This window comes from Homo sapiens, chromosome 13 (genome assembly GCF_000001405.40).
Source record: "Homo sapiens chromosome 13, GRCh38.p14 Primary Assembly".
Lineage (NCBI taxonomy): Eukaryota > Metazoa > Chordata > Mammalia > Primates > Hominidae > Homo > Homo sapiens.
Genome location: NC_000013.11, coordinates 113,895,078 through 113,921,872, shown reverse-complemented (window position 1 = coordinate 113,921,872; position 26,795 = coordinate 113,895,078). Strand labels below are relative to the sequence as shown.

The following is a 26,795-nucleotide window of genomic DNA, read 5'->3' as shown; positions in this document are numbered from 1 at the left end:
TCCCAGGAGGAGAGCTGCACACTGGATCTGAGAGAGTAGCACAATGTAGGCTGCACATGGGGCTCATCCTGAGGAGACCTCCTGGCATAATGGAGCACTGGGGGTGAAGGCAGATAGAAGATAGTCGGGAGACTATGAACACACATGAGAATGTGTTGTGAGAAAAAAAGTCAAAACTATCAGGGTGGGCGAAGGGCAGGGGGAAGCTGTTGATGGAATGAAAAATAACCATCATGCTTTGTTTGGCTCAGTCATAAGCAATATTTACTTAGTCATGAAAATGTAAATACTAACTATGGATTTAACTAAAAATAGAGATATAATTATAGTGTGGATGTGGAAGTAGGGGAGATGGAGCTAAAATACCTGTCCAGCAGGAAATAAACAGATAATGTCTAAAATGGGTAAGTCAAGCAACAAAAATAGAGGCATATGATTTTGTGATAAAACAGTCATGACCAGAAGGAACAGCTTTAACAGGGACAAGTAGTTGCTTTTGCAAAAAGAGAATTAGGACGTGGCTGGGTGGGAGGCAAGTAACTGTCAGCTCCAGGGTCCACATCTGGTCCTGCTTTATTCCACAGTTCAAGTGTATTGTGTAAAGATCGATATTTTAATTAAAGTGTAATAAGGTGAGATAATTAAATAGTAAAAATAAATAAATAAATAAAACAAAGCTGCCCATTCCCTTACCTTGTTGCTGAGCTTCCCACAGCCCCCAGGCCCTACCCCGAGGGCTTCCTGCAGGACAGTGCACATTGCAGCTGCTGCAGCAGGAACGGGATGCACTGGTCACTCACAAACCACAAAGCGGAACTGGAAGCTAGTGGAGTGGGGGAAATATTTGCAGTAAATATGACACAAAGATTAATAGCTACTTATAGATTTCACATCTATTAAGGTTCATCTGTAAAATCACTGTAGTTGGGGTTTGGAACACAGAGAAACTCACACATGAAGCAGCACTGAATACACGGGAAAGACACGGTCACATGCACAGGGCACACAGGAGCGATGCAGTGGGCACAGGTCACCACGCATGGCCCAGGAGATGCAAGGAAGCGGAGCACCACTCTGTCCACTCAGATGCCCAGCTCTGCACTCAGCAGCCACGGCGAAGAGGGCAGCCTCGGAAGCGATCTGACAAAACCTAGGGGTGAATACAGGAGTTCACACCTTTGACCCACTCTCCCACTAGAAAGTAATGACAGGAGGAATGATGAGGCTCTGGGTGGCAAATGCATAACAGGAGACAATCCAACTATCTAGCAATGAGGCATTAAGTAGATCAAGGCACATCTATTTGTGGCTTATGAGTTACTGGGTGGATGTGGGGTGGACACAGGGAGCCCAGTAGGCCACAGCCCCCATCCTCCATTCCCACCACGCCTCACAGCTCCCTCCTCACTTGGGTGGACCTTGTACAGTTCTACCATCCAGCAGCCATGTAAGTATCTGCCAGATTAAATTCCACATCCACTGAAGGATGAAGAGAGCAGACAAGACTTTAAGCAGATTTCCCCCTCTAGCCTCTCTGTGAGCTCCATCTGCAGGCGCTGCCTGTAGGGCCTGACATACTCAGGGCCCAGCACACATGGGGCCTGGCACACACACGGTCTGGCACACACAGGCCCAGCACACATGGGGCCCAGCACACTCAGGGCCTGGCACACACACGGTCTGGCACACACAGGCCCAGCACACATGGGGCCCAGCACACTCAGGGCCTGGCACACACACGGTCTGGCACACACAGGCCCAGCACACTCAGGGCATGGCACACTCAGGGCCTGGCACACACAGGGTCCAGCACACACAGGGTCCAGCACACTCAGGGTCTGGCACACTCAGGGCACAGCACACTTAGGGCATGACACACACAGGGCACAGCACACTCGGGGTCTGGCACACTCAGTGCCTGGCACACTGGGGGCACAACACACACAGTGCACGGCACACTTGGGGCCTGGCACACACTCAGGCCCGGCACACTCAGGATCTGGCACACTCAGGGGCTCCGGGGCTCCAGGGCTCCAGGATATTAATGCTGGTGCCTGGAGTTCTCAGAGGTGTCTAGGGGCACAGAAGAGGCACTGGCTGGGCCTCCTGGACAGGGTGAGGGTGGGGCGTCACATTCTATTTCGAAAATAAGGAGTGTTTTTAAAAAGCAGTAAAACCCATAAAAGGAAACTCCTCAGAGCCACATCTTGAGGTTTACCTGGACATGAACCCGTTTGCCTCTTTGGAGTTTCCAGGTGCTGGGCCCAAGCCCTCTGTGCAGGCCCCAGAGCAGCGGCTGGGAATTCGGAGGGTGTGGAGGGCATCCTGAGGCAGGGGGATCCGGGCGGGCAGCACAGGGCCTGCGGGGGCGTCGAGCTTCACAGTGGACAAATCCTGCCAGCCTGGCACGTGGCCTCCAGCCTGGGGCCCGACACCTGCTGGACGATGGAGGGTGGAAAAGGAAGGCCCACGGTGACATGTGGAATTTTAAACAGGTTTTCCTGGTTTGAGGGAGCCGTCACGTCTGCTCCTGGCATGGGATCACTTTGCTGTGGAAGCTTGGATGCCGGTGCTTGCAGGCCAGGCTTCTGCCAGGAGCCCTTCAACCCACACTTCGGGCTGTGGCCCCGGGGGCTGTAGGGGGTCAGCCGCCGGGGCCTCTGGTTGACTCAGAGGCTGGTGGGGGCTCCTAGCAGAAGCTCCGAGACCTCCACCTTATAACCCAATGGGTCGCAGGGCTGCGCGGCAGCTGTGGGCTGGGCTGGGCTCATACTTGGTCCTACAAGTGAAGCCACTTTGGGGACCAGCTTCTGGGCCCAAGTCCAACCACAAAGAGGAGATGAAACTGATGCATTTCTAAATGCTTCAGCTTGGCAGCAATACAAATATTTGGGAAATCTTTGACATTTACCGAGCACCTACTATGGACAGAGAACTCAACAAGCACTTTCCAGGCGTTCTCCTCAATGATCCTGACCGTCGCTGCGGGCTCTTGTCCTTGGGACCTTAGGCAGCCGCCTTGCTCACCCAGAGCACGGAAGAGTTGAGATCAGAACCTGCTCCCCGCCCACCCTCCAAGCCTCGCTCTGCACTCCCCATCACAGGGCTGGACACGGGGAACACCTGGGGGCAGCCAGAGTTGGGAGGGCAGAGCTGGAGGGGTACCCTGGGCTGTTACCAGCCATGAGAGTCCAGCTCAGGAAAAAGTGGGGAGCCTGGCCAGGTGGCTCTGGGGCCACCATCTTGGGTGACAACTGCTCAGGGCTCTGGGTTTCCTGCCAGGAGGGAAGGGAGATCAGCCACACACCCATATGCTGGGACTCTCAAGGTGTCTATGCTTTCACAGAGACCTCATGTTTTGAGGACGGGTCAAAGTGCAAAATCAGTGACCACCAGCTGGGAGCTTTGGGCATCCTGATGGGCCCACTCTGGGGAAGAGAGGGGTCCACCAGTCTCTGCTGGCCTGGTGTCGGGGTGAGGCACTGCCCCGGGTGCCCCCGCTGCCCCACGGAATGTCTAGGCCCCAGCAGGTAGCTGTACCCAAAGTCTCATTAGTGTCCACACCTGCCAAGAGTGACACGTGTGCCCACCGTGCCCGGGGTGGAATTCCACAGAGCCGCTCCCCAGCAGGCAGCTCTTCAGTCCCACTGGCTCTTATCAGCTCCTGTTTACTGCAGCGACTGCACCCGCCTCCTCTCTACGATGCGTAAGAACTGCCTTTCCTGTCACCCCGAGAGGCAGGGTTGTGGGGCAGAAGTGGTGGCTCCGGGGCTGGGCAGGCAGGCTTGAGCCTCACTTGGGATCAGTCAGCTTGAGCCGGGCTGCACTGCAGAAACAAATGGCCTCCTGTGTCTTGGGCTTCCAGCGACAGCGTGTGCTTCTCACTCGCGCTACAGGCACATGATGGTCAGCTGGAGCTCTGCTCCATGGCCTCTCAGTTCTGGGACCCAGGCTGAAGGATGCCTCTCATGGGAGGCTCTGTGGGCTGGAGGATGGGGACATGGTGGAACCACATGATAGCCCCTGAGGCATCTGCTCGGCCAGGACATTGGCGAAAGCGTCACCCAAACCTGACATCAAGGGGCCCCGGGGAGAGGCAGGAAACACTCTGAGCATGAATCTAGCCAGTCTACCCGCCGTGTGTCCTTGAGCAAGTGAGGACCTTCTCCAGACCTCGGTGGCCTCAGCCGAGATGGGCATGGCCGTGGCAGGACGACTGGGGTCCGGTCCGTGTGCAGCATTTCCAAGGCCTGGCCCCTGCCTGCTGTCTCTGCGGGGCCCTCTCATTCTGCTGAGGTCTCAGTGATGATTGATAAGGGGGACAGCACATTCTGAGCCCTGATGTACCCTGCAGAGGCAAGGGCTGTCTGTGGTCACCATGGTTTCTGGAACCCTCTGTTTTCCATTTGAATCCCACACAGCCAGCTATGGCTATGGACAAAGAGTGCAAGCTCTGAATCTTCTCCCAGCCTTGTGGCCCTCAGGGTCACTCAACTCCCAGTGCCTTACGTGGTAGGCTCCTCTGAGAGTGTGGACGGCCACTTCACTGGGCTGAGCTGCTTCCCCCGTGGGACTGCCTGACCTCCCGACGGGCCTCCGGGGCGTGTCCCGCATGCCCCACTGGGGACCCTCCACACTGGTGGCAACGTCAGGCCAGCCCTGCTGGGAGCGCCCCGGCCCTGGCGTTGTGTCTCCTGGCTGTCCCTGGTCTCCTGGGCAGATTTTCCGGCTATTTTTTTTTCATGCCTGCACATCTGGGTTGATTTCACTGGCAACGCGAGGCTCCCGCTAGACGTCTCATTTTGTTTCACAGTGGGAAGAAGCATGGAATAATACTGACCTCTTGATCCACGATATATCTGGGGGCACCAAAATTCAGGAGTTTTCTCTCCTCCCCCATGTCAGAGGCAGTAACCTGTCCAGCTTACCTCTCAGAAGCAGCAGGATGATCCTGAGCTGCTTCTGTGAATGTTCACAAGCTGCTTGAAATGACTTCCTACCACTGGATCTATTGGGGGAGAGCAAGGGGGAGCGAGCCTGAAGCCTCCAGTGTGCAACTCACCCCACCGTGTAACACCTGACTGTGCAACTCACCCCATTGTGTAACTCACCCCACTGTGCAAATCACCCCACTGTGTCACCCCATCATTGTGTAACTCACCCCATGGTGCAAATCACCCCACTGTGTAACTCACTCCACTGTGTAACTCACCCCATCATTGTGTAACTCACCCCATCATTGTGCAGCTCACCCCACTGTGTAGCTCACCCCATTGTGTAACTCACCCCACTGTGCAAGTCACCCCACTGTGTACTCACCCATCATTGTGTAACTCACCCCATCATTGTGAAACTCACCGTATCATTGTGTAACTCACCTCACTGTGTAACTCACCCCATTATGTAACTCACCCCATTGTGTAATTCACCCCATCATTGTATAACTTACCCCATCATTGTATAACTCACCCCATCATTGTGTAACTCACCTCACTGTGTAACTCACCCAATTGTGTAACTCACTCCATTGTGTAACTCACTCCATCATTGTGTAACTCACTCCATCATTGTGTAACTCACCCCATTTTGTAACTCACCCCATTATGTAAGTCACTCCATCGTGTAACTCACCCCATCATTGTGTAACTCACCCCACTGTCTAACTCACCCCATTGTGTAACTCACAGAGCTTGGTCGTCCCATCTAGTATCACTGTCCTAAATGCACTGTCGGGTCACTGAACCTGCGATTAGCCTGGGCTTTACCTACCCAGAAACACTTCTGCATGCCATGAGCACCTTTGCAGGCTCAGCTGTGAAGTTTCTAGATTCCACATGCACTTGCCCCATGAGAGGCCAGGATGCTGCTGGAGTTGTGTTCACCTCAGGTGTGTCATCACTGTAGCTGTTCCAGTCCGTGACATAGCCTTGCAATGTTGGCGTGGACGTGGAAGCGTGCAGGGAACAGTCGGCACTGGCATCAAGGCCCCAGGATATGGCCATCCACCCCCGATGGCCCCAGGTCCTTTCAGCCCCTCCGTGTTTATTTCCTAGGGAAACTCTGGTTTGGAACCATAACTGCAAAGAGGAAAGTCACAGAAGCTCAGTGGGATGATCTAACTTGCTTGCCAACAACACACTGCTCTACTAAAATTCTCTTGTAGTTTCTACACCCAAGACATGGGCCAAAAATTCAGAAGCCACTGGGACAGCCTGGGAAGAACAAACCCGGCCAGGGACTTTGTCAGTCATCCCGAGTCAAAAGCGCTCAGGGGTCCCGGACCAGGAGAGGGGGTCTTGGCCCAGAGCTCACCCTCCTCGCTGAGGCACAGCTGGGGCATGCTTGGTGCATCGGAGCTAAGATGCTCTGCACTGTGCTTTTAAGGAGCAGGGATCCTGCCAGGGAGGACTCTTAAACGGAACCACAATAAGCAGCGATCTACGGTCAGCCCCTCTACACACAGCAGATGCCGTGGGGCCTGCTGAGCTCAGGAGCAGTGCACCTGCACTCTTGCCTCCCGGTTTGACCCAGCTCCAGCCTCTGTGCTCCGTGCTGCACTCCTATCCCACCAGTACCAGCAGCTGACGGCAGGGGAGACGTTTTTTCCACGATAAGAATTTGTTTGAACCAGCCATGAGTTCTTCCAGTAAACACAATTAGCACATAAAACTGTGCACCGCGTGGTGAAAGGAATTAGGAAGATATGCTGTGTTTACTTTGTGGTTCCAAGAGCTGGTATCTTTAAACCTTTGATTTGCCAAGAGCCCAAATCATGGGCAGGAAAGGAGGGTAAACCCGGCCCCATCACTTGCAAGCAGCCGATGGATAAACAGCCGCCTGGCATCTCCTCACAGCGCAACTCAGCTGCTGCTCCCGAGCTGTGCTTCCAAGTGTGGGGCTGTTTGTCCTCTGCCCCCGAGTGGAGGCTCCTGCAGAGCACAGCCAGGAGCAGGGTGGCTCCGTTGATGCTGTCATTGCTGTGCCTCAGTTTCCATCCACAGAAGAGGGGACCGTACAGGGCTCTTGAGCAGAACAAGGTCGTTGTCATGAGACTCTGGGGGCTGCGCCAAATGACGCTGGTCACTGAAAAGGAAGCAGCCTGTGTTACCAGGACCGCATGACCTCCACACCGCTTTCCAGAAGGTTCGTGAATAACCCACCCCTCATTTACGTGTAATTAGGTGGAGGTATAAACAGCCAGCCAGCAATCTGAGGGGGCCCCTTTGCCAGTGGACAGCCCTGCTCTGTCCGTGCAGCAGCCTTTGGCTGTGCCCTGTCGCCCTAATCAATGCTTCTTCCACTGTCTGATTCTGTGTGAATCTCTCCTGATCAACGCCTCCTCCACTGTCAGCTCACGTGCGAATCTCTCCTGATGAACGCTTCCTCCACCGTCAGCTCAGGCGTGAATCTCTCCTGATCAACGCCTCCTCCACTGTTGGCTCACGTGTGAATCACTCCTGATCAATGCCTCCTCCACCGTCGGCTCATGTGTGAATCTCTCCTGATCAATGCCTCCTCCACTGTCGGCTCATGTGTGAATCATCTCCTGATCAATGCCTCCTTCACTGTTGGTTCATGTGTGAATCATCTCCTGATCAATGCTTCCTCCACTGTTGGCTCACATGTGAATCACTCCTGATCAATGTCTCCTCCACCGTTGGCTCATGTGTGAATCTCTCCTGATCAATGCCTCCTCCACTGTTGGCTCATGTGTGAATCATCTCCTGATCAATGCATCCTCCACTGTTGGCTCACGCGTGAATCTCTCCTGATCAATGCCTCCTCCACCGTCGGCTCACGTGTGAATCTCTCCTGATCAATGCCTCCTCCACCGTTGGCTCACGTGTGAATCATCTCCCGATCAATGCCTCCTCCACCGTCGGCTCACGTGTGATTCATCTCCCGATCAATGCCTCCTCCACCGTCGGCTCACGTGTGATTCATCTCCCGATCAATGCCTCCTCCACTGTCGGCTCACGTGTGAATCATCTCCCGATCAATGCCTCCTCCACTGTCGGCTCACGTGTGAATCATCTCCCGATCAATGCCTCCTCCACTGTCGGCTCACGTGTGAATCATCTCCCGATCAATGCCTCCTCCACTGTCGGCTCACGTGTGAATCACTCCTGATCAATGCCTCCTCCACTGTTGGCTCACGTGTGAATCACTCCTGATCAATGCCTCCTCCACTGTTGGCTCATGTGTGAATCACTCCTGATCAATGCCTCCTCCACTGTTGGCTCATGTGTGAATCACTCCTGATCAACGCTTCCTCCACTGTCGGTGTGTGTGTGTGAATCTCTCCTAAGTGAAGCCAAGAGCCCTCTTGGATGGAGGAGGTCTGCCTGCCTTGATTTTGCTCTGCAGACCACTCGCCTTGGTTTAGAAACTTCCTCTCTTGAGGAAGGTGATTGCCTGCTAAAGCAAAAATTGTCAACACTTTCTGGAGAAATAGAATCCAGAGCCACTACACATAAAATTTATATTTGGGATAAAATCCAAAATTATTTGACATATGAAGACCAAGAAAAATATTACCAATCTTCAAAAGAAATGACAACTTTTAGTTTCCAATATTGAGATGAAAAGACTGTTGGAGTTACCAGACAAGTACTTTAAAACAGCTATTGTAACTGTGCTTAGTGAAGTAAAGGTATGCTTATGATGAATGAAAATATAAAAAAATCTAAGCAGGAAAATATAAAATATTAAACAGAACCAAATGGAATTTTAAAACTAAAAAATACAATATTTGAAATAAAAAGTTCAGGTTTAATAGAGGAAAATAGTAGTAAGCTTAAAGAGATTGATAAACACCATATAAATTAAAGAGAAAAATGATTTAAAAAGCAAACAGATCTACGATAGTTGTCATCTCTTCAAAATGTCTATAAAGTGTTTTTGTAAGCCTCAGTAATCATAATGCAAAATCCTATAATAGATACACTAAAAATAAAAAGCAATGAATTAAAACATACTACCAGAGAAAACCACTTAACCACAAAGGATGACAGTAACAAAGAAAGAGAGGAGGAGAGGAGTTATGAGACAACCAGAAAACAAGCAACACAACGGCAGTAGTAAGTCCTTACTTATAAATAACCTCAATGGGTTGGCTCCACAGCAAAATTGAAGAAACAGTGGAAAGAATCAGCGAAACAGAAGTACAATAAAAATTACCCAATCTGAACAACAGAGAGAAAATAGACTGGAAAAAACATGAACAGAACCTCAGGGACTTCTGGGGCTATAACAAAAGATCTGAATTCGTGTCATCAAAATCTCAGAAGGAGAGGAGAAAGAGGATGGAGCTGGAAAAACCAAAAATAAAATGACTGAAAACTTAAGAAATTTGGCAAAAGACATAAACCTACAAATATGAGAGGCTGAAAAAACTCCAAACAGGATACATTCAAAAAAATTCATACCAAGACACATCATAGTCAAACTTCTGGAAAGTAAAGACACAGAGAGAAATGACATTTTACCCATAGGGAAAAGCAATTCAAATGGCAACAGATTTCTCATCAGAAACCGTGGAGGCTAGAAGGAAGTAGCACACAAAACTGCCAACACAAAAGTCTGTATTCAGCAAAAATAATCTTCAGGATTGAAAGGGAAAATTGAGACATTCTTAACTGAAAGAAAACTAAGAACATTTGTCACTGGCATATCCATCCAAAAAGAATGGCTAAAGGGGCTTCCCTACACAGAAAGAAAATGATCAAAGAGGAAAACTTGGAATATCAGGAAGGAAGAACAAGGTAGCAAAAGTATGGATATATATAATATGCCTTTTTTCTCCTCTCAAATTTTCTAAATTATATTTGATGAAGCAAAAATTAAACCACTGTAGCTCTAAATATTAATATATCTGGAGGAGATACTTATGACAATTATATCATAGATAAGAGATAAAAAAGACAAAGGGAGGTGAAGTTTCTATACTTTACTCAAAGTGGTAAAATGATGATACAAGTATACAGTGATAAGCTATTTATATAAATGTAATATCTAGACCAATCATTAAAAACTAATATAAAGAGATATACTTAAAAACACTATAGAAAAATCAAAATGGAGTTATAAAAATTGTTCAAGTAACTCATGGGAAGACAGAAAAGGAAAAAAGAGCACTGAAAAACAGAACAAACAGAAAACAAAAAAAAATGTCAGACTTAGGTCCTAAAATATCAATAATTACATTAAATGTAAATGGTCTAACTGCATTAATTAAAGACAAACATTTGTAGAATGGATTAAAAACTGTGACCTAACTATGTGTTAGTTACAAGAAACTCACTTCAGACATAACAATATAGAAGAGTTGAAAGTTAAAGAATGGAATAAAGTTTATCACGTAAACATTAAGCAAAAAAGAAGCAGAAGTGATTATAGTACATCAGATAAAATAGACGACAGAACAAAGAAAATTGCCAGAGATAGAGAGGGACATTGTATAATGATAAAAGGGTCAATCCACCGAAAAGACATAGGAATGAACTCTAGATATGTATGCTCCTAATAGTGATATACAAAGTATGTGAGGCAAAAATTAATAGAACATAAAGGAGAAATAGACAAGTCTACAATTATAGTTGGAGACTTCAACATGCTTTTCTCTATAATTGATAAAATAACTAGACAGAAAATCAGCAAGAACATAGAACCCAATAACACCATCAACAAATAGAATCTAATCAACATTTACAGAACACCCACTCAACAACACCAGAATATATGCTGTTTCCAAATGCCAATGGAATGTATACTAAGATAGACCATATCCTGGGCCATAAAACGAATCTCAACAGACTTAAAAAGAATTTTAAACAGAGAATGTGTTCTCTGACCACGATAGAATCAAGTTAGAAATCAATAACAGAAAGATAACAAGATGTCCAGATGCTTGAAAACTAAGCAGTACTATTCTAAAGAATCCATGGGTGACAGAGAAAGTCAAAGAAAATCAATGCACTAAACTGAATGACAATAAAAATATAAATCAAAATTTAAGTGATATACCTAATGCAGTACTGACAGGGAAATTTATAATACTAAATACCTATATTAGCAAAGAGAAAAGTTTCAAATCAGTAATCTAAGCTCCCGCCTCCAGAGCCTAGAAAAAGAAAAGCAAAATAATATTTTACCCAAAATAGCAGAAGGAAAGAAATAATAAGGATAAGAACAGAAATCCACAAAGTTGAAAAAAGAACAACAAAAGAGAAAAATCAAGGAAACAAGTAACTTTTTCTTTAAAAAGATCAATAAAATAGACAAATCTGTAGCAAGACTGACCAAAAAGAGAGAAGGCATAAATTATCAATATTAGAAATGAACAGGGGCCATACTAAAGACCCTGCAGACATCAAAGGATATTAAAGGAATACTGCAAACAATTCTATGTAAATATGACTACTTAGATGAAATTGACCAATTCATTAAAAAAAAAAACCCGACAACACATCCAATATGAAATAGATCATTTGAATAGTTTTACAACTATTTAGAAAATTGAATTTGTAATTTAAAAATTGCCAAAAGTGAAATCTCCAGGCCCAGATGGTTTTATTGGAGAATTCTACCAAATGTTTAAAGAATTTATAATTCCACCCAATCTCCTTTGGAAAATAGAAGAGGAAAGAACACTTTCCAACTCATTTTACAAAATTAATATTAATACCAAAACCAGGTAAAGACAATAACAAAAAAGAAAACCATAGACCAATGTCCTTTATTGATATAAAAATCCTTTGTTTTTTGTTTTTTGTTTTTTTTGAGACGGAGTCTCACTCTGTTGCCAGGCTGGAGTGCAGTGGTGTGTTCTCAGCTCACTGCAACCTCCACCTCCCAGGTTCAAGCGATTCTCCTACCTCAGCCTCCCAAGTAGCTGGGATTACAGGCACCTGCCACCACACCCAGCTAATTTTTGTATTTTTAGTAGAGATGGGGTTTCACCACGTTGGCCAGGCTGTTCTCGAATTCCTGACCTAAAGCAATCTGCCCAAAGTGCTGGGATTACAGGTGTGAGCCACTGCGCCTGGCTGAAAAAATGAACATTGATTGATATTATACACCAAAATTAACTCAAAATGAATCATAGCCCTAAATGTAAAACCAAAAACTGTAGAACTTCTAGAAGAAAGTCTCAAAGCCAGCAAATATTTCTTAGCTATGACACAAAAGACCATAAACCATTAAAGAAAAACTTGGTAAATTTAAAATTTTTGCTTTGGGAAAGACACCATTAAGGGAACAATAAAGCAAATCATAGAATAGAGAAAATATTTGCAATACATATATCTAAACTTGTGTCTAAGATAAATAACTCTTATGCATCAATGAGAAGATGGCGAATGACCCAACAAAAGAGTGGGCAAATGATTTAGACAGACATAAAAGATATATGGGTGTTGAATAAGCATATCAGGAAAATGCAAATTAAAACCACAAAGAGACTCCAGTACAAATCCACTAGAAAGGGTGAAATGAAAAAGACTGACTGTAGCTGGTATTAGTGAGGATGTGGAGCAACCAGAAAAGCCAGCACATCGCACGATTTTGGAAGACAGTTTGAAAGTTTCCACCTATCATATGATGCAGCCATTCCCCTTGTAGGTGTTGATCCAGGAGAAGTGGAAAGCCAAAAACTGGAAACCACCTAAATGTTCATCAACAGAAGGTGGATAATCAGAATGCAGTACGTGTAATGCAAAAAATTCAAACAAACACACAGTGACAGCATATCAGCGGCTCCAGGTGTGGGGCCAAGGGGCCCTAGCTGCAGAGAATCCGCAGAGTCTGGAGGGAGGGCTCGGTCGTTCTGTATCTTGGTTGTGGTGGGTCATTGAATTGGACACTCCAAAGGGTTTATTATACATGAATTATACTTCAATAAAGTTGATCTTAAAAACTTAAAAAGAAATTTCTAATCAAATTTTTAGCAAATCACATCTAGCCACATAGTAAAATAATAATACATGAGACCTGTCTGTGTTTATCTTAAGATTGCAAGATTGGTTCAATATTAGAAAATATAGCCATATTTATACATGTTATACATTTAAAACACTAATTCATCACATCAGAAAGGGAAGTAGGTCAAAAAGAGGAAATCCTTTGGTTTTCATCATTATTGCTGAAAAGGCAATGATATAATTTAGCAACCTTACCTGAAAAATAATTACTGATAACCAGAAATAAAAGGAAACTTCCTTAACAAGTTTTTGCTTTTTAAAGTCAGTGGAAAACGCACTTGAATGTGTTCTACGTGCCAGCTTTTATTCACCCTCCTGGCTGTACATCGAAAGCCATGAATCTCCCTGCTGAAGACAGGCTGCCTCTCCCTGGAGGCTTCCCATCTGTTTTTGCCCAACACATTTCCACAACCCTTTAGACTTAGAGATAACCAAGAGAGAAGAAAGGTGGGGGAGGAGGAGGAAAGTCTTCTGCATTCCTGGGCCCCACCAGGCCAGCAGATCCTCCCGGTGGGAGCAGAAGTGGGGGTGGGGAGGCTCAAAGAGCAGCACCTGCAGGGGCAGGTGCCGCTGACACCCAGGGAGCCCGACAGGACCCTGCCCTGAGCCCAGCTGTCCCAGAAACCACCTGGACTTCAGCCAAGCGCAGTCCCTGTAAGGTATTTAATGGCATATCCAATCCACGAAGCACCGAAAGGCTCCCTGGCTTCCTCCTACCGGGACTTGAGAACTTCTTCAGCCACAGAAGCAACTCAGGCTCCCCAAATCTATCAAAGAAGACCACAGGGACGTCTGCACCATGCACAAATTGAGAGGAGCCTCCTGACCCTGAACGTGAAACACCCGCACCCTCAGCCCAAAAACAGGGGGCTTCTCCAGCTCAGGGCTGCAGCAGGAGACCGTCTGTAGCCACAGGTCCTCTAGAAGCTCTACCAGTGCAGCAAGAGCAATCAGCAAATAAACAAAGTGTGCAGTATTTGAAAGAAAGAAAAAGAAACTATCACCACCTGCAGATGACACATCCAAGCGTCTCTTTGTGCCAGGCCCTGTATACATTTTCCAGCCACTCTGTCTCATTCCACACACATTTTGCAGAGAATCGGGACCTGCCCAAGGCTTACGTCTTACAGATGCTACTCCTGGAATGCAAACGCAGGTCTGGCTGATTCCAGAGTCAGAACTTCAAGCCAAAAAACTTTCCCAAACACCCCAAAGGATGGACTCAAAGTTAGTAAAATTAAGAGAGGAAATTACAATGATGGTGAGTAAAATCAATATAGAAATCCAATAGCATTCCCAGATGCTAGCAATAACCACCTCGCAAGCAAGAGTGAGGGGGAGCCTGTTCGAAATAACAACCCAGCATCTTAAATACCCAGGACTTGTTAGGCCAAGAGATGAGTACAAAATTTATATTGAAGAAACAACAAATTTTGTAAGGAACTATAGGAAAAAATTGGGTCAGTTGAGAGATGTCAGCATGATACCAAAGGCAGAAACCAGAGATGGGAGGACCGGTAAGTCTGAGAGCATAAAAATATAAAACCCACCATGTACACATTTGTAAAGCAAACAGAAATATAAAACTCCACTAAGGGACATGAAAAAGCAGGTGACTAGATGCAGAAACATGCTGAACACTTAGGAGCCCTTTTATTTGTTGAAATATTTTCAAATAAGTGAAAAAATCAGGTAAAGCAGGAAATTGACAATGATACATATACATCTCAAATGCTTCCTTTTAACTTAAAATATATGAGTCTGAATTGATTTGATTCTTGTGAGAACATCTCTGTGAGGTCTGCTCTTTGAATTTGTTTTTTCCTGGCAAAAAGAAAAGAAATTTTAAAAATCTTATAATTCATCACTCATGGTTTTACGCTTTATTTCCTTAAATTAAGGCAAGAATTAAAGATGCTGTCATGGTGATCTGAGGGCAGAATCCCTTTGAATGTCATCTTCCTCCAATTTTTACAGCTTTCTTGCATATATTTGGTTTTGCAGCATTAAAAACACTTTGCCAGTTTGTCTCCACCAAGCCTTCCTGAGCGCTCTCCCACTCTGCAGTCCTGGCCCATTCCCAAGAGGCAGAGATGCATGCAGAGGGCACCAGCGGGCCTGGCAGCCACCCTTGGCTCTGCTGAGCCTTAGCTGTGGGAGAGGCCACCTGGGCCCCCGGCTCTGGATGTGTGTGGAGGGATGGAGGGTGCAGGCTGGCCTGGCATGTCGGCTATGTGTGGCCAACCAGAAGAGCTTGGCACCACCCTTGACAGGAAAACTCAATATTTGATTCCCTAATTCCTCCCCTAGGAATTTTTCCTAATGGAACTCAGTGCCCACTTCATAGTAGTGGTTATCTCTGCATAAATTTTATTTCCTTCTTTGTGTTTTCCTGTATTTTTCAAATGGTCTGCAATCTACACGGATTACTTTTATAATTAGAAAAAAATTAATTGTAAAAACATTGTTTGAAGTTTAAAGAGTGCCATCTTGGTTACTACTCAAATCTTTATACTGTCCTTACGTTTTTCAGTGTTAACCCAAACTGTGACGCCCATCTCCCTAGGACACATCATAGGAAGGCCTGCTTCAGTGAGAATGCACTCGAGATAGGAAATTACCCGTGTTGATAAGCAGGGCCTGCCTATGTTTTTAAATTTCAGGCTCCCTAATAAAAGGAGTAGGATAAAATGCCAGCATGCTGACATTTCAGGACACTGCCGTCCGGCGGGGGACTGCGCACAGCGCTGCCCACTCTGTTCTGACCCCCACTGTCCTCTGACTCCTCCTGGGTTGTCCTGCCATGTTCCCATGGGGAAGGTGTCACACCCAGTGCCAGTGGGTGATGATCAGAGGGGATATGACAGGGCTCTAGGTGGTACCTGGATGGATATTTTTTAAAATAGTTACTAATTTATTTTAGTGTGCTGTAGAAAAAACCAGGCAGCACAATGGACCTTCAATCTCACACAGATGTATTTAAATGTATTTAAATGTAAACATATTTTACATTTAAATGTATTTAATGAGTCTATTGAAGATGCCCTAGGTAGACAATAATTCAGAGCACATGGATATGGCAAAACTTTGAAATCTGCACACAGAAGGGTGCAATTTGGGAAACTGTCATATGAAATCGCACTTGGGCTGCACATTACGAACACGGCAGGTCGTATCTGTGTGTTTTCATTGCTTTTAAATCTCTTTTAGCAGCTCATTCTGTGCAGGCACCGGTTCTGATTTACTTAAGAAGATGGTCTTAACTTCCCTTTGATGGGTATCGTCATCCTTTCTCTTAGTTGGTTTCAGTATTATTGCAATAGGATATACTGAAGTTTTGAATAATTTATTAAACGAATCTTTACTTCCTAGATACAACTATCTTGACTTTTTTCTAAGTACTACACTTTTGAAGTAAAATAAAGCCTCACCTCAACAACAGAAGTGGGGTCCAGAACATCCCGTGGGTAGGATGTGGGAGCTTTCCTGCAAGGTCGAGTGGCCCCTGCTGGGACCCTACCTCTGGCTTAAACTGTGACGGAAAGATTCTGGGTATTGTGGTTGCCTGGAGCTTCCACGATTCAGCAAGGATTCCAGGACTGTCCTGGGGAGTAGCTGCCGTTTAATTAGCCTGACAGAGAGATCGCTCCTGGAGAAGCCTGTAGACGCAGGACTCCTGCCTTGTTGAAGGATCAGATGTAGCAAGTGAAGAGGGAAGGTGAGGAGGCTGCCAGGCAGCCGGTCAGTGGGTGCCGCTTAAGAGAAAGTGTTGGCCAGGACTGCAGGGGCAAGAACCAGGACACAGGCCTTTGATTTGTTACCTGAAGGGCCTGCTGGGGCTCGGATGCAGGTTGGTGACAGACTCAAACTTGCCATAACCTTTTCCTCAATGTATCCTCATTCCAAAAGTCTAGGGGATTAATTCCAAAATAGTTAGATAGCCCCCTTGTATTTCTTCGTGGGTGTTTTTATGATCCTTCCTCTTTCTTTATCACCTTAAAGCCTGACAAGCAGATGCCTGGGGATGGGGCTGGGGTGATGAAACCTTTTAGCATTGCTTGGGATGAGGCTTGCTGCCTGTGAAATCAATGCCAAGATGCGCTTTGAGTAAGGAAACTTTCTGGAATTAACCTTTGAGTTATTTATTTCCATGTTGCTGATAAGGGCTTGAAAGTTCTGTCTGGGTTGCAAACACGGCCCTGATTGCTTATTAACTGCGTGATCTCCTACAGGTCACTGATTCTTCTCAAGCCTCGGTTTCTTTATTTGTAGCTTGAGGCAGTGACACCTGCCTCATGGGGTCGCTGTGAGACAGAGTGAGGCCTCTCTGCCCACATGCGCTGCAGCATCCGGCACACTGTGTGCTCAGTAGGCAGAGACTGTCATCCTTCTTGTTACAACAACCACCACAGTTGTCCCTGGTATTTGCCAGTGTATTAGTCCATTCTCACACTGCTAAGAAAGACCTAAACGAGACTGGGTAATTTATAAAGAAAAAGAGGTTTAATGGACTCACAGTTCCACATGGCTGGGGAGGCCTCACAATCATGGTGGAAGGCAAAGGAGGAGCAAAGACACATCTTACAGGGCGGCAGGTGACAGAGTGTATGCAGGGGAACTGCCCTTTATAAAACCATCGGATTGTGTGAGACTTATTCACTATCACAACAACAGCACGGGAGAAACCCGCCCCTATAATTCAATTACCTCCCACCAGGTCCCTCCCACAACACGTGGGGATTATGGAACCTACAATTCAAGGTGAGATTTGGGTGGGGACACAGCCAAACCCTATCAGCCAGTGAGACTTTGGGACCCACCCTTCCAGGCTGCGGCTCCCTCACTCTCATCCTCACGCACTTCTGCGGTGCCTGAGCTGCAGTCACCGTGGTAACTGGGATTGACCTTTTAAAGTATCTGTTATAACTACAAGCTTAGTGTCAAAATACTATTAACCTGTTTTGCCTTTACAGACTTATTTTTAAAATAGTGTGAATTCAGTTGTGTTTGATTAGCAGCTTTTCACTGGAGTTGCCGCCCAGCGCAGCGAGGGGTCTTCTGCAGGCCTCGCTGCCTCTGCACTCCTGTGCCTCCAACGGAGCAGCCATTAGTTGGACCAGGCTGGTCTTATTCTCCAGCTTCCTCATTATTTGGGGTGAGTTCCTCACAGCCTCCTGTTAGTTCTCCTGATTTTGTGTATTCTTATTCTCATGTTGCCCATGTTTGGCCTAAGAGAAGGCGCCTCTTGGCCGGCTTCCTGGAGGACTCTTGCTTTCTTGCATGCCACAGCAGTGACAGCTCCGGCAAGGCCCTCCTGGTAAAGTCATTGGCAGATCCCTGTCTTTGAAAGTGTTCATATTTGGAAGAAAATGAGTCCAAAGCTGCGAATGTCCGTCCTCCTGCCAGAGAGGCAGACAGCTGAGTGCTATTGTTTGGGAATCTGTAAGAACTTTGCTATGGCAAAATCCCTGGCCACCAACAGCAGCCTCCTGAGGAGAGCACTGAGATAGTAAAGGTGCCTGGAGGCGATTTGCATCCATGGACCAAAAAATTTAATTCCCCCCGAACTTTATCAGTGGATGTAGCAATAATTGGCTTCACTAGCGCTGTGTCCGTTGGCAAGTGGAGATCTTCTCTGTTCCTCAACTGTGTAGAGGGGGAAACACGCGGGGAAGTCATCCACACGGCGCTGGAAACACCACCGGACCCGCAGTGTGCAGAGCCCCAGGGCTGTGGACTCAAGGTCTCTAGGAACTGTATTCAGGGGAGAGGAGAGGGTGCGGAGGACATGACAGGTAGCCATAGAAACCAGCACACAGGGTGGGGCCGGCGTCCCGTTGGAAGTTTCCATTGTAATACACGCATGATGGGAAAAAAAATGTAAAAGAAATCACCTACAGTCCCATCACCCAGAGAAACCACAAACCATCCTTGAACATTTTGCCATATTTCCCTTAAGAACTCTTATATTGTAGTTCAAGGAAAAAAATGGTTGGGCTTATATGTCATATATATAATTTTATATCTTTTAGAACGGAATTATCACAGATTACTTTATCATAACTCATGGATGGAATGTTATTAATTCTTGATAAATGTTATTCTCTCTTTCTCCATGACCATACATTCAGAGAATTTACCACAGCCACTTAACAACCTCCCTATTAGACATTTGGTTGGTGTACATTTTTCACTAGTACTAATAATGCTATACTACAATGAATATTTTTGGCCATAGTTTTTCTGCATTTTGAATTATTTCCGTTGGATAAATTCCCAGAAGTAGAATGTTGGGACAACAAATGCCTGTAAGACTCTTCATAAATATCACCTGGCCAGCCTGACAGCATCCAATGCTTTGAGTTAAATACAATATATTCAATACCAAAACATTTGTATTTTGCTGGAGAGTTCTGAGAAGTTTGTTTTTCTCCCTTGAAGACCTGTGCAAACCATGTTGCATAGTGAGTAGTGCGGTGTTTAGGAGCAAGACACTAGGAGCACTATGGTCTTCCGACACTTATGGGGTACCTACTGTGTGCACCCAACACATTGTGGTCTTATGATACTTATGGGGCACCTACTGTGTGCACCCAACACATTGTGGTCTTATGATACTTATGGGGCACCTACTGTGTGCACCCAACACATTGTGGTCTTATGATACTTATGGGGCACCTACTGTGTGCACCCAACACATTGTGGTCTTATGATACTTATGGGGCACCTACTGTGTGCACCCAACACATTGTGGTCTTATGATACTTATGGGGCACCTACTGTGTGCACCCAACACATTGTGGTCTTATGATACTTATGGGGCACCTACTGTGTGCACCCAACACATTGTGGTCTTATGATACTTATGGGGCACCTACTGTGTGCACCCAACACACTGGGTGCTGGGAGGGATGAAGAAGAAGAGGCTGAATCCTCAGGGCATGCCTTCTCCTCCTGGCCTAGAGTGAGGGTGACGCCTGGATGGGCATCGTGGAAAAGCCCCTGGGGAGATTCTGAGCAGGACTGGTGGACACAGACGTGGACAAGGTGTCCCAGAGCATCCTGGTCATGATGCAGGAGAAGCTCGAACGCACGCTCAGCCCTGGTCGTGACAGAAGAACAGAGAGGAATAAGAAACGCCTTTAGGAGCTCCCAACCCAAGGGAGTGGGAGGATGTTCTGCACCGTTTTTCTGGAAGCTTGGGTCTAATTTTTCAGTTACTTAGTTACTTATGGCTTTGAGGCTGGATAGCTTCGTATATTTTGTTTCCTGAAATGACCCCACAGGTTCTACAGAGCAGGAGAAAAGGCTGGACAGGGGTCCCCACTGGATGAGACGACCTTCCCGCCCCCTCGGTCTGGGAGTCTGTGATCTTCAGGGCCAGCCCCCAGCTGGCAGGCCCCACCTGGAAGCTGAGTATGCCTCTGCTGGCGGTCCCAGCCTTGGCAAGGCAGCTCTTATTTCTCTCCAGCCTGCGGTGGTTTTGATAAAGCGGCATTTCTGCCTTGTTGGAGCCTGGTTAGTGATGATGCATCTTAGTCCAGGCCTCTCGAGTTTGAAATAAGAACCCCAACCCTTGGATGAGCCAGAACTGCCTTGGTTTGCTGGTGTCAGTTCAGAGCATTGAAATTCCTGCTTCACTTTAAAGAAAAATCTGTGCAGTAAGAATCTGTGTTTCTAGACTGCGTGAGAGAACTCGGAACTTTCTGTCACTTATTTTTAGAGATGTCCCAACAATGATTCCCTCTGCCAAGCCTCTGCCTGGGGGAACCCACCTTCCTGTCTCAGGTGAGCCTGACCCCTCCCCACCCCTTTGCTGCTGCTGGACTTCAGAACAGATTGCAGGCAGCAGCTACAAACCTCAGCTTCTGAAATGTCACTCATTCATCCACTCGCCTGTGCAATCCTCTCTCTAAACTCCCTATTGGGGCCAGTTCTGCAAGTGTGTCTAGGGCCGCACACACAACGGTGGGCAAGGCCCGCACTCACTGGCACGATGGGTCTGGCCCTCCAGGACAGACAGTGGGCCTGTCACCGGGCCCGTGACTTCCAGACACGAACCCTCCTCTTTAGCGAAGCAGGGAATTTGTCAAATACTGGCCCTAGCAGGCATAGCACAGCACCTGGCTTCTAACAATCAGTGAGGGGAGAAAAGGTGCAGGACACTAATGGGGCCACATTTCTTCACGAGGACTTCAAGGTTCTGCACAAGGAGGTGAGTGAATCTCAGACACAAAAAGTACATTCTGCACGGTTTCGTGTCAGTGACTTTCAAAAACAGACCCCACTTACCTCTGATGGGAGACACCAGGACGGTGGTTGCTCTGGTCAGGAGACCCCACTTACCTCTGATGGGAGACACCAGGACGGTGGTTGCTCTGGTCGGGAGACCACACTTACCTCTGATGGCAGACACCAGGACGGTGGCTGCTCTGGTCGGGAGACCACACTTACCTCTGATGGGAGACACCAGGACGGTGGTTGCTCTGGTCAGGAGACCACACTTACCTCTGATGGGAGACACCAGGACGGTGGTTGCTCTGGTCAGGAGACCACACTTACCTCTGATGGGAGACACCAGGACGGTGGTTGCTCTGGTCGGGAGACCACACTTACCTCTGATGGGAGACACCAGGACGGTGGTTGCTCTGGTCGGGAGACCACACTTACCTCTGATGGGAGACACCAGGACGGTGGCTGCTCTGGTCGGGAGACCACACTTACCTCTGATGGGAGACACCAGGACGGTGGTTGCTCTGGTCGGGAGACCACACTTACCTCTGATGGCAGACACCAGGACGGTGGCTGCTCTGGTCGGGAGACCACACTTACCTCTGATGGCAGACACCAGGACGGTGGCTGCTCTGGTCGGGAGACCACACTTACCTCTGATGGGAGACACCAGGACGGTGGCTGCTCTGGTCGGGAGACCACACTTACCTCTGATGGGAGACACCAGGACGGTGGCTGCTCTGGTCGGGAGACCACACTTACCTCTGATGGGAGACACCAGGACGGTGGCTGCTCTGGTCGGGAGACCACACTTACCTCTGATGGGAGACACCAGGACGGTGGCTGCTCTGGTCGGGAGACCACACTTACCTCTGATGGGAGACACCAGGACGGTGGCTGCTCTGGTCGGGAGACCACACTTACCTCTGATGGCAGACACCAGGACGGTGGCTGCTCTGGTCGGGAGACCACACTTACCTCTGATGGCAGACACCAGGACGGTGGCTGCTCTGGTCGGGAGACCACACTTACCTCTGATGGGAGACACCAGGACGGCGGTTGCTCTGGTCGGGAGACCACACTTACCTCTGATGGGAGACACCAGGACGGCGGCTGCTCTGGTCGGGAGACCACACTTACCTCTGATGGGAGACACCAGGACGGCGGCTGCTCTGGTCGGGAGACCACACTTACCTCTGATGGGAGACACCAGGACGGCGGCTGCTCTGGTCGGGAGACCACACTTACCTCTGATGGGAGACACCAGGACGGTGGCTGCTCTGGTCGGGAGACCACACTTACCTCTGATGGGAGACACCAGGACGGTGGCTGCTCTGGTCGGGAGACCACACTTACCTCTGATGGGAGACACCAGGACGGTGGCTGCTCTGGTCGGGAGACCACACTTACCTCTGATGGCAGACACCAGGACGGTGGCTGCTCTGGTCGGGAGACCACACTTACCTCTGATGGCAGACACCAGGACGGTGGCTGCTCTGGTCGGGAGACCACACTTACCTCTGATGGGAGACACCAGGACGGCGGCTGCTCTGGTCGGGAGACCACACTTACCTCTGATGGGAGACACCAGGACGGCGGCTGCTCTGGTCGGGAGACCACACTTACCTCTGATGGGAGACACCAGGACGGCGGCTGCTCTGGTCGGGAGACCACACTTACCTCTGATGGGAGACACCAGGACGGCGGCTGCTCTGGTCGGGAGACCACACTTACCTCTGATGGGAGACACCAGGACGGCGGCTGCTCTGGTCGGGAGACCACACTTACCTCTGATGGGAGACACCAGGACGGCGGCTGCTCTGGTCGGGAGTGGGGGGCAGGTGGTGGGGGTTGCGAGAAGGGTGTGCAGGAGCGTTCCGACGAGAGGCTGTGTCTCTATTGGGGTGAGGGTTGCATAGGAGAAGCAACTGATCAAAACTGCACAATGAAGATTTGTATATTTCATTATTTGCCTGTTTTACCTCCCAAATCCCTCATTCAGGTGCGATGGAATGGGAGCACTGGAGACACAGACAGCTGAACGTCGCACGCTGTTGCCCAAGGCTGGTCCGGCTGCTGGGGCTGCACGCCAGGCCGGGGTCTTGGGTTCTCCGAGTTTATGCCTCTTTTCCGGCCTGCGAATAAACCAATAGAGAAGAGGAGGTCAGGAACTTGGTGACTGTGCCATCCAACGTGGTGAGATGAAGGCAACAGTGCCCATCTTAGAAGGTTGTCGTGAGGATTATGTGAGTTAATTTACAAAGAGCACACAACATGCCCAGGGCTGTGGTTGTTTTGTGAACATCATTAAAGTCTGGTAAACTGTTTTCCCCTCAGCTGTGGCTGCAGCACTGGAAACACTGGCTGCCTAAGGTGCTGGAGGTCGGACTGCAGTCTGGGTCCTCCCAGTCCAGATTCCTCAGCTTCACTGGACAGACAGGCTCACCTTTGGAAACGCCACAAAAATCCACTTGTGCTATTTGTGTTGGTTTATTACTAAATGGACATGTGATTTATTTGGCATAGCAACTCTGCCTTTTCCCAAGAGGTTCCCTGCTTGGGGTATTATCTCAGATGGAGGGCTGAGGCTGTCTGGTCCCATCCTGGTGAGTGGTGGGCGAAGAGACGTGGTGTCCAAACCACATCACAAGTACTGGAAGGGGGTGTTAAAATCTCTGTCCACATTGGAAATTAATAAAACATATTATTCCCCACAGATAGGTTGCAAAGCCCTGGTCTACAAGGTCAGGGACCTTTTTCTGTGGGCCCAGCACTGTCCACAGCCTGAGAGCAGAGAGAACAGAGAACAGGTGAAGCAGCTGTGACTAATGAACCTGCCCTGCCTTCTCCTCTAGGGCAATGGAGATAGGCCCAGGGTGTCCTTTGGCTTTAGCCAAGCTCTACCATGCAGACAGTAAGACAAGAGCAGAGCTGCAACAACCACCAGGCCCATGATATGCCCCCAGCCACCCCACAGAGAATCCACTATTAATACCATGTTACTCGCCCTATCAATCCCACATTACCCCATCATCAATCCTACTAGCTATAGACCACTAAGCTCAAGGGTCTGTCGCCACCTCTTGCCACAGTCAGTGTCCATGAACAGTGTCTGCAGGGCTGCTCTCTCAGGGCTCTGAAGAGAAGCCAATGGTGGAAACCTGGATGTTGGCAGACATGGCTCATGGCAGTGGGCATCTCCCCATTTCAACCTCACATATTTTTCACATGGTTCAGGAACCACAGAGCATTCCAGCCGTTCATAGACACGGACATGATGTCAGTATTTCCTGCTGACCTTCCTCTGTGGAATGTGAGGGCTCCTGCCCCGTGGGCCCCAGTTGGGAGCAGCACTCCTGGTCCATCTGCCAAGCCAACTGCTTTTCCTCCTTCTCACCTCTCTGCAAAGCATACTTTCGCCACCACAAAAGGGGAGCATAAAAGGAAGGAATGTACCAGCCACATGCCAACTCTTACTCTCCCTCTTTGCAGCATAAACCTTCCGATTTCTTATAACCCTTTCCCATCTAAAGCCAATTGGTGCATCTCAAATAGCAATATATGATTCTGAAATTAACAATAGAACCTTATTAGTGCAAAATGAAGCCCAGTTTGCTGTAGGCTGAGATGTTTTGAACCATCTAAGGGAGTTGAGTTATTTTAGCAGCACAAAGACATTCTCCAAAAACATGTTCTCCTGGAAGGCAGCACTAGACAAAGAGACTAATGATATCTTGTGCTGTTGGGTAATCTCAGGTGGGCCCTTAACTTTTCCAAATCACGGTCTCTCAGGAGGCTGCAGATGAGTGGGTTCCCACGGCCTCTTTTGAGCTCTGGCACTAGACAAGGTGGTTTATAATGGGAAGGGGCAAAAAGTGAGCTGTGGAGTCTATAGACTTAGTTTGAATTCTGGTGTTTCAAGTTTCCAGGGGTGTGACCTCAAAGAGCATGTTTAACTTATTCTCAGATACCCTATCTGTGAAGAGGGTATGGCAACTTAAGGGTTAATACAGAGGATTCAAAATAAAATATTTAAATGATAAATTTTTCAATAAATGATATTAGGACAATTAGTTATCCATTTTGCTAAAACAAAATTCCTCCTCTCTACTCTTTATCGCATGTATTAAAACACACTTCAGAGGATCAAAGATTTAAATGTAGGCTGGGCACAATGGCCCATACCTGTAATCCCAGAACTTTGGGAGACTGAGGCAGGAGGATTGCTTGAGGCCAGGAGTTTGAGACCAGCTTGGGCAACCTGGTGAGTCTCTACAAAAAAAAGAAATAAAAAATTGGGGGCTGTAGAGAAAAAAAATTAAAAAATTAAAAATTTCACTGGGCATGGTGGTGCATGCCTGTAGTCCAAGCTACTCAGGAGGCTGAAGTGAGAAGATTACTTGAGCCCAAGAATTTGAGCCAGGGGTGAGCTATGATTGTACCACTGCACTCCAGCTTGAGTGACACAGCAAGACCTGGTCACACACACACACACACATACACAAATTAAAATTAAATTTAATAAGTTTTTTTTAAAAAAGATTTAAATGTGAAAGAAGAAAGAGGGCACTCCCTCTGTGGTCGCCACTGGCTCTCAGAAGTAGTGCGTGAGCAGGAGGCTCCACTCTGATCCAGGAGCACTGGCATCTATGAAGAGGGAAACCAAGAAAAAATTCTTTCTGCTATCTTTCCTTTCAGTAATGCTTATCTTAAGAACACTCAACTGGAAAACCACTCCACCTAAAAGTAGGAAAGATGGCAATTCTAAATAGCAACTATTATCCCAGGGAGACCCCTCAGATATGTGAGGAATCAAGCCATAAATGTGCATTTGCTGGACATTATATACCACGTCATCTCTATGACTACAGATTTTAAGGATAATTTTTACTCACTTAACAATTTCACTGTAACAGTGACTGATAATGTGAAAATGTGCTTTATACAGTGCTGCTGATGGGTACACAGACAAGTTCTTGCTGCAATTATTTCTAAATCTAGCCAGATCCCAGAGTCATGAAGATATAAGCTCTGTGAGACCAGGGACCATCTCTCTTTCTTGCATCATAGGCACACTTGATAAATACTCATGGCTGGAAAAAAAAAAAAAGAGGGAAAGATAGAGAAAAGGAGGGCAGGACAAAGAAAAGGAAAAGAAAGACAGAAAGTAATAGAAAGCAAAGGTGCATATTTTTATAATCTTAGAATGAAGAAGACCACTCAGGAAAATCTTAACACCTCTCTGGATAAAAAATTCAGAAGGCACTGCAAAAAACAAAGCTAATAAAATATGTTTACACTTTTAAACTCTTTGTGGGAAAAAAACATGGTAAATAAAAGAAAAACTGGGGGCTGGGAGTTTTCAATTCACTTACAAAGAGTTGATTTCCATAACTACAAAGCATGCTTACCAATTAAAAAGTAGAGAACAGGACCCAACTTTTGGTAATGGCAGAATAGCCCCCACTGAACCAACCTTTCCACAGGTAACAGCTATAAACTTTAGGTAAAATATGGGGGGAAAACCTGCTTAAAAGCACTGGAGTGTGATAGAAGCAGGCAAACACTGGAGTTCTTGTGGTG

The 26,795-nt window shown here is 47.3% G+C and overlaps 1 long non-coding RNA gene across 1 annotated transcript, besides 2 other annotated features; it reads right to left on the bottom strand.

Moving 5' to 3' along the window:
• Positions 1-555: 555 nt before the first annotated feature.
• On the bottom strand, positions 556-26,770 carry LINC00452 (long intergenic non-protein coding RNA 452). The gene is made up of 8 exons (NR_164112.1): positions 26,624-26,770; positions 23,186-23,347; positions 19,859-20,082; positions 5,770-6,077; positions 4,929-5,008; positions 2,219-2,438; positions 953-1,150; positions 556-823 (listed from the first exon to the last, which is right to left on the bottom strand). It is a non-coding gene; the product is annotated as a long intergenic non-protein coding RNA 452 (long non-coding RNA).
• Positions 1,265-2,149: an enhancer, noted in NCBI's record as "H3K4me1 hESC enhancer chr13:114622697-114623581 (GRCh37/hg19 assembly coordinates)". NCBI's record gives its function as "activates a minimal SCP1, AML or CMV promoter by ChIP-STARR-seq in naive H9 embryonic stem cells {active_cell/tissue: H9 hESC(naive)}" and the evidence as "EXISTENCE:reporter gene assay evidence [ECO:0000049][PMID:30033119]".
• Positions 7,495-8,694: an enhancer, noted in NCBI's record as "BRD4-independent group 4 enhancer chr13:114616152-114617351 (GRCh37/hg19 assembly coordinates)". NCBI's record gives its function as "activates an origin of replication core promoter dependent on BRD2, P300/CBP, MED14 and CDK7 cofactors, and independent of BRD4, by STARR-seq in HCT116 cells {active_cell/tissue: HCT116}" and the evidence as "EXISTENCE:reporter gene assay evidence [ECO:0000049][PMID:35650434]".
• Positions 26,771-26,795: the final 25 nt, after the last annotated feature.